The following is an 18,282-nucleotide window of genomic DNA, read 5'->3' on the forward strand; positions in this document are numbered from 1 at the left end:
TTTTTACCCCAAAGGAAGGAACTCATAGGCCATGGCCCGAGAATGGCCCAAGATTATGTAACAGTGGACAGATGGGACCAGTTCTCAATGAGGGCATCTAATGCGGAGATGACTTTCAAAGTTTAGCCAACAGTGCTGATGCTTGGGTTCCATCCTCTTTCAGAGACACCCTGGTTAAAGGATGGAAAGTCGCCACATTCCATTGAGCTCTAGCACATATCGTGGTGGTGATTCCATTCATTAAATCTATGAACTCCCATTTCTGTTCACTCAGTTGATCCCAGAGGCTCCCCAGGTAGTGTGGAGGCCTTCTCCAGCAATGTGGCATCTGGCAAGAGACTCAGGACAGGGGAGACCACCTCTTTCTACAAGTGAACTATGCCAGAGAGCCCAAGTTTGGCTCCATCCTGCATCCAGGAGGCCTTGGTAGCGGAGCCAGGCCGTGGAGTGTTGCTTCCATGACCAAAGCATAATGGGCAACTGGATAGAAAAGGTCACAGGCTTGGGGGCTGTGAGAGCCTCTGTTTTCAAGAGAGCCCAGGATGTGGCCAGTAAAATGCCAACACAATGGTGTACAGTACAGGGCTGAAGAAGGGCAATATTTTGTATCAGAAGTCATGGACAAGTTATGGCCATCACAGGTGGTTCAGAGACTTCATGAGGCATGAGAAGAGGTTGTTAAAGCCTCTACAGTGAAGAAGTCCCTGAGGGCACTAACAGAGATGCCTGCCCATTTCAGTTTGGACAGATTTTACAGCATTTGTTGGAGGGGGCCCTGTTTAAGGTGGGCTGATTTGCAAGTAAAAGCATCAGCGAGATTAAGTAAAATTTGTAAATGTGGAATATGTTGCCTCCAGAACCCAAAAGGACTAAAAGATGTTAGAAAGGGACAGTTATGTTCCTCTGCTCATCTTGACAGCATCAGAGATGGAGCAGTCCTCAGTTCGCCAAATAATTTTCAGGAATTTAACCAAGGTGGCAGGGTCTTATACTTATGCATGAACCAATGGTCCATCGCCTTTTTAAAGCTCCTTTATGAGTATTTGCATGTCTTGAATGAGTATCCCAAATGAATCTCTGCAGAGGAGGATATCATCAATGTATCGTACCTGTGCTTCTGGAGAAGGGTAGAAGCAGTTAAGATCTTGTCTGCAAAGACTGTGTGCAACAGAAGGCTGCTGAGGTATATCCACGGATGGCCTGGTAGAGGCGTATTATGTCCCTTCAGAAGTGAAGCCAAACTGCAGTCAAGAGGCTGGTGAAATACACACCGAACAGAAAATGTTAGTGAAATCTATTATAGCAGATTTTTTTAAAAAACAAATTTCTGGTTGGATAGAATCAGTAACTTTTTTTTGAGCATTATGTATGAGAGCCTTAAAGGGGCCCACAGCATTAAGTTTGTGAGGAGCCATTCATTCTTTCAAGGTTTAAGAACACGGCAAATAGGGCTGTTACCCACTGTTACCATATTGTTTTAGTTTTGATTTTTCTCTGACTCCAATGTGATTGTTTCAAGAGCTTTACCTGACATGTGGCTTTGTAAGAAAATTCAATGCTACTTATTTCTCCAGCTACAATAGGTTTCTACAAAGCCCAGATAATTGCATGCTTTCTTAAAATTAGGATGCCAACAATTTTTATTTTTTACAAAGAGAGTTCATTCTCTATTAATTTTGTTTAGGTTTGAATTGTGTAGTCATAACTTCAGTATTAAATTTATAAATCAGAAATAAACCTATGGTATTAATAAATTCATATGTGTATCTATGAAAAAGTGATTATGTCAATAACAATTTATTTACAGAAACAAAGGAAACATTTCCTCATTTAAGAATACATTCAAACAAAACCACAGATGCACGTATAAAATTAAAATGAGTACACTCCATCTGTGATATATCTGCCACAGGCTTTTTCAACACCAGTTGACTGGTCAGTGAGAGGAAACATTGGGGTCTAAGAATATGCCAGTTCCATAGAAATTCTTTCCCCAAATAGTCGTGAACAAACTGCTTGGCCAACAGATACACAACAGACCTCAGGATTTTAAGTTGCAGAGCAACTGTCTTCAGTGGTTGGCATTTCTTAAATACTTAAATCCTTCTTTGGTTCAACAGCTGATTTCCTCCTTTGTCATATTCTTTCCTATTTGTTTTCCCAGGGAGTGACAGCCACGTCTTTCCACATTAGACTTCTTGGGTAAGCAGCTTCTGAAATTGTCCCACAGCAGTCCATAGCTGTCCAGCGGTGACCTCTTTGCTTGCAAGTTGGATATCCCTTTTGACAAATATCTCTATGAGGCATGTATAATGTAAACTTTAAGAGAAACAAAACACTGTGCATTTTTAATTATGTCAAATAAGTCTTAAAGCCATTTTAAATGTTCAATTATTTCGGTAGATTACCCTTTTCCCTTTAGTGGAGAAAAATAAATAAAATAATGTAGAAAATCAAACTGTTTCAACTAGTCAATATGTTATCCTTTATTTCAACACAATTTAAAACATTAAAGCCTTCAGCCATAGAAAAGATGCTTACATTTTTAAATAATGCCTTAATAGTGTAAATGCAAATAAATAATTTCTTCTTCTTTCCATTAGCATTCAGTAATGAGTTTTTACTGTGCTATATCACTTTAAATGGTCCCTATGACCATTTAAAAATTTCATTTATTTCCTTAGCCATCCCACAAATTAAGAGATTTATGTTGTTTCCAATTATTAGTTATTATAAATAACAGGATGAATATGATTTTATACATGTCCTCAGAGTAAAGTAGAATAGGTCAAAGGATATGAACATTTTAAAGCGTGAATATTTTATTTTATTTTATTTTAATTTTATTTCATTTTGAGACGGAGTCTCACTCTATCACCCAGGCTGTAATGCAGTGGTACGATCTCGGCTCACTGCAATCTCCGCCTCCCAGGTTCAAGCGATTCTCCTGCCTTAGCCTCCCGAGTAGCTGGAATTACAGACACCCGCCATCACACCCGGCTAATTTTTGTATTTTTAGTAGAGACTGGGTTTCTCCCTGTTGGCCAGGCTGGTCTGGAACCCCTGACCTCAGGTGATCCGCCTGCCTCGGCCTCCCAAATTGCTGGGATTACAGGCATGAGCCACCTCGCCCAGCCTAAAGCATGAACATTTAAAAGTGTGAACATTTAAAGTGTGAAGAAACTGGTACACTTAGAAATGAATCCAAAGATTTGCAAATCTACAGACAATAGATGGCCTGGAATATAGGACACCTTGTTTCAGGGATTTAAAATCAATTAGGGTCACCTTTAGTGCTCTGGGTAAAAATATACTAAGTTCATATGTACATATTTTTTTAAGCCACTATATCACTTCTCGGCCTTTGGCTAAGATCAAGTGTTTAAAGTCACTATGTTTTGTAGTAATTTCTTACCCAGCAATAGATAATTGACATACATTTTGATTTGGGATTTTGGAAGCAGAGCACATCCAAGTGCAGCTGTGAAACTGAAGGACTGAAGATGAATAGAGGTGAGGATCAACAGATGTGAACAGGTCACAAAACAAGCATTAAGCAATATGTGAAGGTGTAGGATAAATAGAGAAACAGGTGATGATGTCTCCCAGGGTAATGACAGGACTTGAAAAAGAAGCACAAGTCCAACTGGATCCAAAGTCTTGATTAAACAAAGTAGGTCAACTCAAATGTCAAGAGCTTCAAAAGAGCAGGACTTTTTATAAGAAGAAGGAGTGATCATTTGGCAGCCATATCAGGACCCAGCCAAAAGATTGCTCACCCCTCTTCCCAACTTCAGCTACATGTGGAAGTGGGCTGCAGACAAATGTGAAAATGCATGAGACACTCGTTTTAACCATATGACCCTTGGTGAGGCACAGTAAGGCCAGATGCGAGCGAGAGGGAGGCTGGAAAGAGTTTTTCAATTTTGTTACTCAGAGTTCTCTGAAGGAACACCACCTGGAGGGTCACTCAGAGGAAGCACGGGTTTGGCCAAGAGGCATGAGAGAGGCACCTGCCAATAAGTGGCTATATTGTGGTTCGTGAAAGGGAACATGGAAAAGAAAAAGCAGTTTGGATTGGCTAGTTTGAGTAATTTCAGTGGGTTCTGGGGCCGAGGGGCTGCCCCTGATTGTCTGGTATCTGGCCCTGTGGTGATTAGGTGGGTGCATACAACCCCATATGGGAGATGGATAGGCTTAATGGGCTTCTCATAAAAGGAAGCTGGCCAGCTTCCAGCCAGGACCTCAAAACTGGGTCAAGAAAACATATTTTTTTTGCTTTTTTTTTTTTTTTTTACTTTAAGTTCTGGGATACATGTGCAGAACATGTAGGTTTATTACATAGGTATACATGTGCCATGGTGGTTTGCTGTACCCATCAACCCATCATCTAGGTTTTAAGCCCTACATGCATTAGGTATTTGTCCTAACGCTCTCCCACTCCTTGCCCCCCACCCCACAACAGGCCCCAGTGTGTGATGTTCCCCTCCTTGTGTCCATGGGTCTTCATTGTTCAACTCCCACTTATGAGTGAGAACATGTGGTGTTTGGTTTTCTGTGCCTGTGTTAGTTTGCTGAGAATGATGGCTTCCAGCTTCATCCATGTCCCTGCAAAGGACATGAACTCATCCTTTTTATGGCTGCATAGTATTCCATGGTGTATACATGCCATATTTTCTTTATCCAGTCTATCATTGATGATGGGCATTTGGGTTGGTTCCAAGTCTTTGCTATTGTAAATAGTGCTGCAATAAATATATGTGTGCATGTGTCTTTATAGTAGAATGATTTATAATCCTTTGGGTATATACCGAGTAATGGGATTGCTGGGTCAAATGGTATTTCTGGTTCTAAATCCTTGAGGAATTGCCACACTGTCTTCCACAATGGTTGAACTAATTTACACTCCTACCAACAGTGTAAAAGTGTTCCTATTTCTCCACAGCCTCACCAGCATCTGTTTTTTCCTGACCTTTTAATAATTGCCATTCTAACTGATATGAGATGGTATCAAATTGTGGTTTTGATTCGCATTTCTCTAATGACCAGTGATGATGAGCATTTTTTCATATGTTTGTTGGCTGCATAAATTCCTTCTTTTGAGCAGTGTCTGTTCATATCCTTTGCCCACTTTTTGATGGGGTTGTTTTTTTCTTGTAAATTTGTTTCAGTTCCTTGTACATTCTGGATATTAGACCTTTGTCAGATGGGTAGATTGCAAAACTTTTCTCCCATTCTGTAGGTTACCTGTTTACTCTGATGACAGTTTCTTTTGCTGTGCAAAAGCTCTTTAGTTTGATTAGATCCCATTTGTCAATTTTGGCTTTTGTTGCCATTGCTTTTTGTGTTTTAGTCATGAAGTCTTTGCCCATGCCTATGTCCTGAATAGTATTTGCCTAGGTTTTCTTCTAGGGTTTTTATGGTTTTGGGTTTTACATTTAAGTCTTTAATCCATCTTGAGTTAATTTTTGTATAAGGTGTAAGGAAGGGGTCCAGTTTCTGTTTTCTGCATATGGCTAGCCAGTTTTCCCAACACCATTTATTAAATACAGAATCCTTTCCCTATTGCTTGTTTTTGTCAGATTTGTCAAAGATCAGATTGTTGTAGATGTGTGGTGCTATTTCTGAGCGTTTGCCAGAAATGCTATACAGAATTGTCTATATATCTGTTTGGTACCAGTACCATGCTGCTGTGGTTACTGTAGCCTTGTAGTATAGTTTAAAGTCAGGCTGCATGATGCCTCCAGTTTTGTTCTTTATGCTTAGGATTGTCTTGGCTATATGGGCTCTTTTTTGGTTACATGTGAAATTTAAAGAGGTTTTTTCCAATTCTGCAAAAAAACTCAGTGGTGGCTTGATGGGAATACCATTGAATCTATAAATTACTTTGGGCAGTATGGCCATGTTCATGACACTGATTCTTCCTATCCATGATCATAGAATTTTTTTCCATTTGTTTGTGTCCTCTCTTATTTCCTTGAGCAGTGGTTTGTAGTTCTCCTTGAAGAGGTCCTTCACATCCCTTGTAAGTTGGATTCCTAGGTATTTTATTCTCTTTGTAGCAATTGTGAATGGAAGTTTACTCATGATTTGGCTCTCTGCTTGTCTATTGTTGGTGTATAGGAATACTTGTGATTTTTGCACATTGATTTTGTATCCTGAGACTCTGCTGAATTTGCTTATCAGCTTAAGGAGTTTTGGGGCTGAGATGATGGGGTTTTTTAAATATACAATCATGTCATCTGCAAACAGAGACAATTTGACTTCTCTCTTCTTATGTGAAAACCCTTTATTTCTTTCTCTTGCCGGATTACGCTGGCCAGAACTTCCAATACTATGTTAAATAGGAGTGATGAGAGAGGGCATTCTTGGGATTACGTTTATTGATTTGCATGTGTTGAACCAGCCTTGCATCCCAGGGGATGAAGCTGACTTTGTAATTGTGTATGTTTCATGAAGTTCTTGTGCTGTGTTTTTCAGCTCCATCAGGTCATTTATGTTCCTCTCTAAACTGCTTATTCTAGTTAGCAGTTTCTGTAACCTTTTATCAAGGTTCTTAGCTTTCTTGTCTTGGGTTAGAATATGCTCCTTTAGTTCAGAGGAGTTTGTTACTACCCACCTTTTGAAGCCTACTTCTATCAATTCTTCAGTCTCACTGTCTGTCATTTTTTGCTCTTGTTGGAGAGGAATTGTGATCATTTGGACGAGAAGAGGCATTCTGGTTTTTGGAATTTTCAGCATTTTTGCTCTGGTTTTTCCTCATCTCTGTGGATTTGTCTACCTTTGATCTTTGAGGGTGATGATATTTGGATGGGGTTTTTGTTTAGGGGTTCTTTATATTGATGTTGATGTTGTTGCTGTTTGTTAGTTTTTCTTCTAACAGTCAGGCCCCTCTTCTGCAGATCTGCTGCAGTTTGCTGGATGTCCACTCCAGATCCTGTTTGCCCGGGTATCACCAGTGGAGGCTGCAGAACACCAAAGATTGCTGCCTACTCCTTCCTCTGGAAGCTTCATCTCAGAGGGGCACTGGCCTGATGCCAGCAAAAGCTCTCCTGTTTGAGGTGTCTGTCAACCCCTGTCGGGGGATTTCTCCCAGTCAGGAGGCATGGGGGTCAGGGACCCACTTGAGGATGCAGTCTGTCACTTAGCAGAGCTGGTGAACTGTACTGGGAGAATCCCTCTTGTCAGAATCAGCTGCTCTCTTCAGAGCCAGCAGGCAGGAAAGATTAAATCCGCTGAAGCTGTGCCCACAGCCACCCCTTCCCCCAAGTGCTCTGTCCCAGGGAGATGAGGGTTTTGTCTGTAAGCCCCTGACTGGGGCTGTTACCTTTCCTTCAGAGATGCCCTGCCTAGTAAGAAGGAATCTACACAAGCAATCTGGCCACAATCTCTTTGCCATGCCCAGCCCAGACCTCCCAGCCTCCTTAGCACTGCCAGGGGGAAACTGCACACTCAAGCCACAGTAACGGCAAATGCCCTTCCCCCTAATAGGCTCGAGCGTCCCAGGTCGACTTCAGACTGCTGTGCTGGCAGCGAGAATTTCAAGCCAGTGGATTTTAGCTTGCTGGCCTCCGTGGAGATGGGATCCACTGAGTGAGACCACTTGACTCCCTGGCCTCAGCCCCCTTTCCAGGGGAGTGAACAGTTCTGTCTTGCTGGGGTTCCAGGTGCCACTGGGGTATGAAATAAAACTCCTGCAGCTAGCTCGGTGTCTGCCCAAACAGCCACCCCATTTTGTGCTTGAAACCCAGGGCCCTGGTGGTATAGGCACCCGAGGGAATCTCCTGGTCTGCAGACTGCAAAAACCATGGGGAAAGTGTAGTAACCGGGTAGGGTAGCACAGTCCCTCATGGCTTCCCTTGGCTGGGGGAGGGAGGTCTCCCAGCTTCTTGCACTTCCGGGATGAAGCGATGCCCCACCCTGCTTCTGCTCGCCTTCTGTGGGTTGGATCCGCTGCCTAACCAGTCCCATTGAGATGAACTGGGTACCTCAGTTGGAAATGCAGAAGTCATCCTCCTTCTGCATTGTCCTCGCTGGAAGCCGCCGACCAAAGCTGTTCCTATTTGGCCATCTTGGCCGCTCCTCAAGACAACATTTTTAAAAAATGGCTTTCAGATGGGGGTCTCACTGTGTTGCCCAGGCTGTACCGAAACTCCTGCACTCAAAGGATCCTCCCACCTCAGCCTCCCAAGGAGCTGGGTCTATGGGCGCACACCACCAGCCTAACCTGACAGCATCTAAAAAAACTAATTTGTAACACTGTATTACTTTCCAGGCACTAACCTCATCCTCAATGAATCAGTCTAACTTTGTTATAATAACTTAAGAGTCTTAGTCTGGTGTAAATTTTCTAAGGAAGAGAAGTTCTGTATTTCATATTCCTGTATTGCAATATTTTTTAACAGGTATTTTCTTCTCCACTCTGTACAGAATGAAAGAAATGTCATGTTGCATTATGTTTTTTGATGAAATCATATCCAGTTTTCAGACCTTTCAGGAGAATAAGCTTTTTTTTCCTTTTTTTTTTTTTTTTGTTCTTATGAATTTCTTCCTTCACTGGCCTTATACCCGGATTTACGGGCCAGGGAACCCAGGCAAATTTCAGGGAGGCCTCCTCTGGTCGGTAGTCCACTGCGGTTCACCATGAGACTCATTGTTCTAATCCCCATGGTCCATTACAAAGAAGAGGCACCCACTACTTTCACTGCAGCTTCCAAGGCCATGATGCTTAATGCTGAGTGCTCAGGAGTCTATGTCCAGGCCTGCTATGCCTTGACACTGTTCTGTCCTGCATGAGTGTCCTGGCCAATCACAGAACCCACCACCCACCTGCTTTTCCAGGCTCTGAGAACTCAACTCCTTCTCAGGCTAAGACCAGCATCTTCCTCTAGAAGCACAAGCCCCATCTGATGCTTCTAGAATTATTTCCATCATACGTATAAAACTGTATCATTTTGAGGGTTTTTACACCTATACTTGCAATTTTTTTATTCTTATAATTCAGAAATACAAAGTGAATTTCTCTCTGAGATAGAGGAAGTCTACTTATAATAAGACTTAGCTAGACTTCCTGAGAGGTAGAAGGGAAAACTTGTATTTTTTTAACACACCTTAAGAGGAAGGGAAACATTTTTTATTCATTTTAAAATGTCGGCCAGGCACAGTGGCTCATGCCTGTAATCCCAGCACTTTGGGAGGCCGAGGGAGGTGGATCACCTGAGATCGGGAGTTTGAGACCAGCCTGACCAACATGGAGAAACCCCATCTCTACTAAAAATACAAAATAAGCCAGGCGTAGTGGCGCATGCCTGTAATCCCAGCTACTTGGGAGGCTAAGGCAGGAGAATCGCTTGAACCCGGGAGGCAGAGGTTGCGGTGAGCGGAGATTGCACCATTGCACTCTAGCCTGGGCAACAAGAGCGAAAACTCCGTCTCAAAAAAAAAAAAAAAAAAAAAAAAAGAGTCAACAACAGCAAAAAGAAATGAGTAAGGTTTTATTAAAGGAAATATTAAATAGTGAGCATTTCTTCAGCACTGCATTGAGATGGGGTTGTAAAGTTTACCTAAGATTTATCAAAGTTACTGCCTGGGTGCAGTTCACTCTGGAGAAAAAAAAACCTGGTGAGACTCTGAGATCTGTACTATTCATTCAATAATAAAACATCGGAGGGAGGTGGGGAGGGTTAATGGGTACAAAAAAATTAGAAAGAATGAATAAGACCTAGTATTTGCTAGCACAACAGGGTGACTATAGTCAATAATAATTTAATTGTACATTTTAAAATAACTAAAAGAGTATAATTGGATTGTCTGTAAGACAAAAGATAAATGCTTGAGGGGGTGATATCCAATTTTCTGTGATGTGATTATTACATATTGCATGCCTGTACCAAACTATCTCATGTAGCCCATAAGTATATACCTACTATGTACCCACAAAAATTAAAAATAAATTTTTAAAATTAAATAAAACATTTGAAAACATTAACTTGATGGTAGATTTATATAATTTAATTGTTAAGAGAAAAAGCATCTATTTTATTTAAAAATTAATAATATATTGTATATATGATATTATTCACCATTTATCTAATTAATCCTGTTATTCCACTCCCTAATGCTCACACCACCACCAAGATTTTTCCAATGTTAATATTTTTACATATTGTACCATATCTTGTGTGAAGAAATAAAATTACAAGCACAGTTGAAGCTCTTATTTTCCCTTCCTCAATCCAATTCCCCAGACCTCTTCCAGTGATTCATCTGCTGTCTTCTAGGATGTGCGTTCTTAGGTCTGAAGGCTTCCGGATTAGTTTTTCTGGAGAAAAGTGGGGATGGGAAAGTAGGGTCTAACTGCACCTTAGGGATTCTTTCATCCTGGTTTGAAGCCCCTAACTCACTACATATATCCATAGTTTGCCAATTAACAGTATTTGTAAGGAAGTGACTGGTGCCTCCAATTCCTGAGCCTCCCTGGGCTCTAAGACAAATCGTTTGCATGTCATCAGCATCTCTTTCTGAAGGGGTTTCAGTTTTGATTTGCTCTGCTCTTCAATTTAGTTACATCACTACTTCATCTGTTTACCATTTCCAACAACCTTGTTGATTTCCAGCATATTTTACTATCTCTTACTCCAATCTTTGTCCTGTTAGGTTTGTATTATGATATTTGTGATGTTTTCAAAAGAAAAATCATATGTTAAATCAGCCAAGCTCACTTAGAAACTTGTTTAAATAAGAAGCTGGATCAAGTGTGATGATAAAGTATCATATAAATAAAAGACTCAGTACTTCAATTCCAAGTTAACATAACAAAGAATTTTTCATTATAGTTTCACCCTTTAGATATGGTTCTGCTACCAGACACTGGGACAGCCATGATTTTTGTTCTATTTACCTATATTTGCTATTTGGAGGATTAAAACATTAGACTACATTAAACACAGACTCTACAGAATAGGTAATATGGGTCTTGTGGGGTCATTTTGACAACTAAAGAAAAGACTTATCCTTGTTATGAACAAGTGTCCTACCCTACAGGCTATATTTAATTCTAGCATCTTCTGCTGTTGTATGATCTAGTACCCATTAACAATATGAAGAAATCTTTGACATTAGTCTTATATTTATATTATTTATAAGTATTCACAATCTCATTTATAATGTTGTTAATAGATGAAAAAATGGAACGTTGAGTCATTATCAACTGAATTAAATCAATATGTAGAGATAATTGCTTGGGCTTTTCATTTTAAGCCTAGATACAATCTTAGATTGCCCCAAATTAAAGGTATACAGTATAAAAATATGTAAGTTAGGTTCGTCCATTCATCCATTTAGTTATTCTTCCAACAAACATTTCTTGGACGCTTGATGTATTAGGAACTGATCTGAGAAATCAATGTATGACTTCAACCAGAGGTGTCCAATCTTTTGGCTTCCCTGGGCCACACTAGAAGAGGAAGAATTGTCTTGGGCCACACATAAAATATACTAATACTAATGAGAGCTGATGAGCTAAAAAAAAAAATCACAAAAAAAATCTCATAATGTTTTAAGAAAGTTTACAAATTTGTGTTGGGCCACATTCAAAGCCATCCTGGGCCACAGGTTGGGAAAACTTGGCTTAAACCCAGTCCCTATATGATTCCTGACAATCAATTTGATTTTCTTGTTATGAGCTATGTCTGTAATATTCATCAACATTGATGACCACTTTTACCTAACAATGTGAGTAAAACAGGTAGCTATTTTATAATAGTTACTGGGTTACTACGTTAAGATAATCTACCACTTGAGTAAAATTTAAATGCACATAGAAGATCATAGGAAGAAGAGCTTTCATTGGAGTGTCACTTCTTCTACTTGGAATCACATACTATACCTTTAATTGATTAAAAATATGCTGAAATGGCAGGTGGTGATTTTCAGCTACAAGTCCACAGTACACAGGAACATGTTTAAATCCTATGTTTATCAGATCTGTAAATATAGTTCCTTCTATGTTAAGTGGCTTTATTTCTAAGCACTCAGCCCTCAGTCCTGGGGGTGCTTCCCAGCCTGCTGCTGGAATTCCTGATCATGGCAGTCTGCTGAAACATGAGCTTAGTTACCAAATATAGCTGAGTGGAGTAAGAAGACAGATGAGAGTCTGAGGCCACAGTTGCCTCAAAGTGGCCATGGACCAGGCATTCTTTAATAAATAGACAAGACCAACCTCCATTCTCCCAGTAAAGAAGAAATACTCATCTGAAATTCACCACTTTTCTGGAGGCCTCAAACTGACCAAGTGTTGAAAACGTCTTTAAGGTGTATTTCGAAATGTTAACAAATAGTACAACATTTCAGGAACTTTAAAAAAAAACAGCTAAAATAATAACAATTTTTTTTCTGAAGTTATGATGCTATTTAGAAGATGCCTTGATTTTATTTTTATCTGGAGAGGAAAGGTGATAGGAATAGTATAGTCTTTCCAAAATACGCAATACATAAGATTACCTGCAGGCTTTATATCCACCTATGCTCTCGGAGAACTACATTTCTACTATAATCACAAGCATGCTACATTGGTGCTTTCAATCACAAAAGGATTAAATATACTCACGGAGAACTTTTCTCAAGATTGTGCATGTTTCACAGAAAATGATAATGCAGTTATAGGAAACTTCACCCATACTTAAGCTAAATACCGATGGCTAAAAACCAATACATTGCATATTTTAGTAACATTTGAAGTTGTGGATTATACTTTCAAATGATTTTTAAAAATAATTCACTAGATATAATAAAGTAATTGATACATTAAATAGAAGTTTTTAAAAATTATATTAATACATGAAATGTATATATTTCTTTTTCAAAAACTTAAAACTTGCCTAAGAAAACCACTATATAGTCTCTGGATGCTGGTTAAATTAAAACATTGCATTATAACATCACATTGCTTTAAGTTACATGTGAAATTTTCTTGCATCCAGTATAGGAGGCTGATAGAGATTAATTTTAGGTTCATATAGTTTTTGACATTTGCTATAATTGCTGATTGCCTATTAGTATGAAGACTACATATAAATGAAGAACACATATAAATTATTTCTAAAAGGTTATTTTTAATGGTTTAAAACCATTAAAAATCAAGTAAATCACTTTTGTACAGAAATTAAATCCTTATTACATGATTAATATCCCTTTCCATAATCAAATCTTACATAGATATGATTAAGATCTTGAGAAATAGTCCAACGAATTAGAGGAAAGTCTCTACTCTTCAACTGAATTATGCAAAATGATAAAATCATGGATGACTCATTAAATTATTGCAATTATGGACAGGGGCTGAGAGATTTATTGGGCTAACAAGCAAATGTATTATTTACAGTCCTAGGAAACAAATTAGAAGACATACTTGCCTGGCACCAAAACCAACTCAAATCCAGTTTCACAGCAAAAAAGATGTCATTCTCCCAGATTAAAAAAAAATCTTCACTTAATCTCATCAATGACTCCAACTATCACTCCATATCTCTGCTCCCTTTTATATGAAAACTAAAAACTTGTCTGTTCTTGCCTTCTTCACTGCTTCACCTCCCAGTCTTTCCTCAAACTACTCCATCAACATTTTTATCCTGATCACTCCCTTGTGAAACTGCTGTCTCACAGTAACCAACAACCTCCACATTGCTACATCCCTTCTCATCCTACTCAACGTCGACCTAGTTGATTATTCCCTCTTCTTAAAACACAGTCTACTCTTGACTTAAAGAACACCACCTTCTCCTTGTTTTTTTCCTACCTCACTGGCTACTTCTCAATCTTTTTTTCCAGCTCCTCAATTGATTTCTGACTTTAAAATGTTGGACTGAACAAAATTTCATCTCTCTTCTATTTATACTCACTCATGGCGATTTCACCAACTCCTATGGTTTTATGTATTATTTCTGTGCTAACTACTCCCATCTATTTATCTCAAGCCCTGGTCACTGCCTGAGTTCAAGCTATTCCTGGAATGTCTCATATGCTGCTCAGACTAGTTTGTTGCAAAACAGAACTCTTGAATCCTCCACATCCTCATACCTCCTCTTCTCTATCTCTCTAAATAGCACTCGCCCTATCACAAGGCAAAAGTCTCCAGGTCACCCTCGTTTCCTCTCTTAACCTCCTAACTATTATACAGTTCATCAACAAGTTCTTTCTTGAATTTTCCAGTTATCTGGAACTTCACTCAGAGTTAACCTAAATACTGATGGTCAAATACTGATCCCTTCTAATTGTATCCAACCAATTCCAAGTTCCATGACTATCATAGTAACATGCTTCTCCTCCCATCTCCTTCTCTCTATGCTCGTGTCACTGGAAACATCTTTTATAAATGCAAGTCAGATCATATTCATATCCTGGCCAAACTGTTCCAATGGCTTTCTTTAATATTTAGGTTTCACAGCCTACAAGATCCAACATTCCATCACCTTTCAAACCCCTCCACACTCATCTTGCACTGTGCTCTTTTGTGCCGCCTAGCTATGCTGGCCTTCTCTCTACAGCTTGACCACAGTTCATTCTTTTCTCAGGAGCACTGACCTACTGTCACTTCTGCCTGGAAATTTCTTTCTCCCAAACAATTGCATAGCTTGTTTCTTCTCCCACATTCTACATCACTCCCTATTTAGTCACAGACTCTATTACTACATAAAACTATATCATATGTTATATGTTTCTTTATTATCTTCCTACTTCATTAGAAGGCAAACTCCTTAAAAGCAATGACTTTTTTCTTTTCCTTATTTATGTCCATATCTAGATCAGCACCTGATGCATAGCAGGTGTTCAATGAACTAGAAACTCAACTGTTGTCAATACTGTCTCTTCATGACGTATTTTTCTTCTTTGTGCCAACTCAACTTCTCTGATCCACAGCAGAGAGCTTTACATCTTACTGCTTTATTTGCTAAAGAAATATTCTCTCTCGGTATTTTCATGTCAAAAAAATTCCAGAAAAGGAACTCATTGAAAGAGAAATTTTACATTATTTTAATAAATAGAGCATGAAATGCTGCCAGGGTTCCCTATGAAACCATGGTGCCAGCTTGCTCTTTAAAGTTCCTGCTCAAAAACAAAAACACAAAACAGAACAGAGAAGTGCTGCTATTAGACCTACCTCAAATGTAATTATGATTGGACACAATTACCGTCAATGATTCCTACCCAAGAAGAGGTCTGAATAAAGAAGTTAGAAACAGATCCTCTTTTGAAACGGATACCAGGTTGCATCCCATCTCCTCTATTATTCTTTCAAAAAGAAGGGGTCAAAGATTTGCTCATTCATCTGAAAAAAAAAAAAAAAGACTTTATCTTCCAGCCAAAGACTTGGAAATGTGATAAAGGGTATAAAACAAGTAAAGAGTGAAAGCTAATTTGGTAATATATTAAGATTATTTATTATTCCAATGACAGAAATAAACCACTCTTACATTAAGCATATGGTAAAGGATAAGAGATGGTAAAAATTTCTAGAGTCTCTGGGTCTCTATTTTTCTAAAACTGCTATCATTGTGATTTTTTTAATATACTTTATTTTCAGAGCAGTTTTAGGTTCATAGAAAAACTGGAAGAAGAAATAGAGATTTCTTGTATACCCCATCCTAAAATACGCATAGCCTCTGAGACTATCAAAATCCTTATATGAAAGTAGTACATTTGTTACAATTGATGAACCTACAGTGACAATCATAATCACCCAAGTTTCATAGCTTACATTTGTGTTCACCTGTGATAGTGTACGTTCTATGAGTTTTGGCAAATTTGTAATGACATGTTTCCACCATTATAGCATCACACATAGTAGTTTTACTGCTGCTAAAAAAAATCCTCCACCCATTCATCCCTCCCTCCTCTCAACTTCTGGTGACCAAAAATCCTTTGACAGTCTTCATAGTTTTGGCATTTCCCAAATCTCATATAAGTGGAATCATACAATATCTAGTCTTTTGAAATTGACCTTTTTCACTTAGTAATAATGTGTATTTAAAGGCCTTTCATGTGTTTTAATGACTTGATGGCTCATTCCATTTTAGAGTTGAATAATATTCCATTGTCTGGATGTATCATGGTTTATTTATCCATTTACCTACCGAAGAACATCTTGGTTATTTTCCAAGTTTTGAAAATTATGAATAAAGCCAATATAAATATCCATGTACATATTTTTGTGTAGGCATAAGTTTTCAACTCATTTGAGTAAATAACAAGGAGTACTATTTCTGGATTATATAAGAGTATATTTAGTTTTGTAAGAAACTGCCAAACTGTTTTCCATCATTTCCACAAGGAAGTAATGAGCATTTCAGTCGTTCCACATCCTTGCTAGCATTTGATAGTGTTTTAGATTTTGGCCATTCTAATAGGCGTGTAGTGGTGTCTCATTGTTCTATTAACTTCCATTTTCCTGATGACATATGATATTGAGCATCTTTTCATATACTTGTTATCCATATATCTTTTTGGTGAAATGTCCATTCAGGTCTTTATTTATTCAGATTTTTTTTTCATTTAAAACATTTTATTTATTTTTTTCATTTAAAACATTTTATAAAATCCAAACATATTTTGAAGAAAAATTCCCCAGACAAAATGAGAGAAATAAACCTCTCTTCCATTAAGTATCATATACTTCCTGAGACTTTCCATTCAGCTTCATTTTTAGCTATTTCACCTTTGTAAAGAAGTATTCTGATAACCTCATCTCTCAGTCTTACATCATATATGGTCTGAAGGTCATAACTTTGAAATTTAAAGACTGTAAGATTATATTCTTTTATGTCTCTTTATTGAAGTTCTCCATGACATTTTCAAGTAGAGTACTATATTAGAATTTTGCATTTGCTGCTCCCAACCAAATTTTTACATTTACGTTTTCTTTGGTTGTATTTTTTTATTGTTTTAAGTTCAGGGGTACATATGCATGTTTGTTTTGTAGGTAAATTGCGCGTTGTGGGGGTATGGATTATTTCATCACCCAGGTAATAAGCATAGTACCCAAAAGGTAGTTTTTCAATTCTCACCCACCTCCCACCCTCTACACTCAAGTAGGCCCTGGTGTCTCTTGTTCCCTTTTTTGTATCCATATGTACTCAATGTCTAACTCCCACTTAACAAGTGAGAACATGTGGTATTTGGTTTTTGGTTCCTGTGTTAGTTCACTTAGGATAATGATCTCCAGCTCCATCCATGTCGCTGAAAATGACATAATCTCATTCTTTTTTGTGGTTGCATAGTATGCCATGGTATATATGCACCATTTTATCTTCATCAGTCCACCACTGATGGACATTTAGGTTAATTCCACGTCTTTGCTACCATGAATAGTGCTGTGATAAATATATGTATGCATGTGTTTTAATGGTAGAGTGAATGATATTTCTTTGGGTATATACCCAATAGTGGGATTGCTGGGTCAAATGGTAATTCTAAGTTCTTTGAGAAATTGCCAAACTGCTTTCTGAAATAGTTGAACTAGTTTACATTTCCACCAGCAGTGTATAATTGTTCCCTTTTGTACACGACTTTGCCAGCATCTGTTATTTTTTGACTTCTTAATAATAGCCATTCTGACTGATGCAAGATAGTATCTCATTGTAGTTTTAATTTTCATTTCTCCCATCATAAGTAATGTTAAGCATTCTTTCACATGTTTGTTGGCTGCGTGTATGTCTTCTTTTGAAAAGTGTCTGTCCATTTTAGATCTCTCCTGCTTTCTCTTGTGGGCATTTAGTGCCATAAATTTCCCTCTACACACTGCTTTAAATGTGTCCCAGAGATTCAGGTATGTTGTGTCTTTGTTCTCATTGGTTTCAAAGAACATCTTTATTTCTGCCTTTATTTCGTTATTTACCCAGTAGTCACTCAGAAGCAGGTTGTTCAGTTTCCATGTAGTTGAGCAGTTTTGAGTGAGTTTCTTAATCCTGAGTACTAGTTTGATTGCACTGTGGTATGAGAGACAGTTTGTTGTGATTTCTGTTCTTTTACATTTGCTGAGGAGTGCTTTACTTCTAACTATGTGGTCAATTTTGGAATAAGTGCAGTGTGGTGCTGAGAAGAGTGTATATTCTGTTGATTTGGGGTGGAGACTTCCGTATATGTCTATTAGGTCTGCTTGGTGCAGAGGTGAGTTCAATTCCTGGATATCCTTCTTAACTTTCTGTCTTGTTGATCTGTCTAATGTTGAGAGTGGGGTGTTGAAGTCTCCCATTATTATTGTGTGGGAGTCTAAGTCTCTTTGTAGGT

General features: G+C 38.4%; 1 protein-coding gene across 1 annotated transcript in view; it reads right to left on the minus strand.

Moving 5' to 3' along the window:
• DDX60 (DExD/H-box helicase 60) overlaps positions 1 to 2,250 on the minus strand; it is a 109,686-nt gene extending 107,436 nt beyond the window's left edge. Inside the window, exons 1-2 of the mRNA XM_024454132.2 lie at positions 2,041 to 2,250; positions 1,110 to 1,255 (exon numbers count right to left, since the gene is read on the minus strand). The gene's annotated coding sequence lies outside the window, so the exon portion shown is untranslated. The remainder of the gene's footprint in view (positions 1 to 1,109; positions 1,256 to 2,040) is intronic.

The sequence above is a fragment of the Homo sapiens genome, chromosome 4 (genome assembly GCF_000001405.40).
Source record: "Homo sapiens chromosome 4, GRCh38.p14 Primary Assembly".
Classification (NCBI taxonomy): domain Eukaryota; kingdom Metazoa; phylum Chordata; class Mammalia; order Primates; family Hominidae; genus Homo; species Homo sapiens.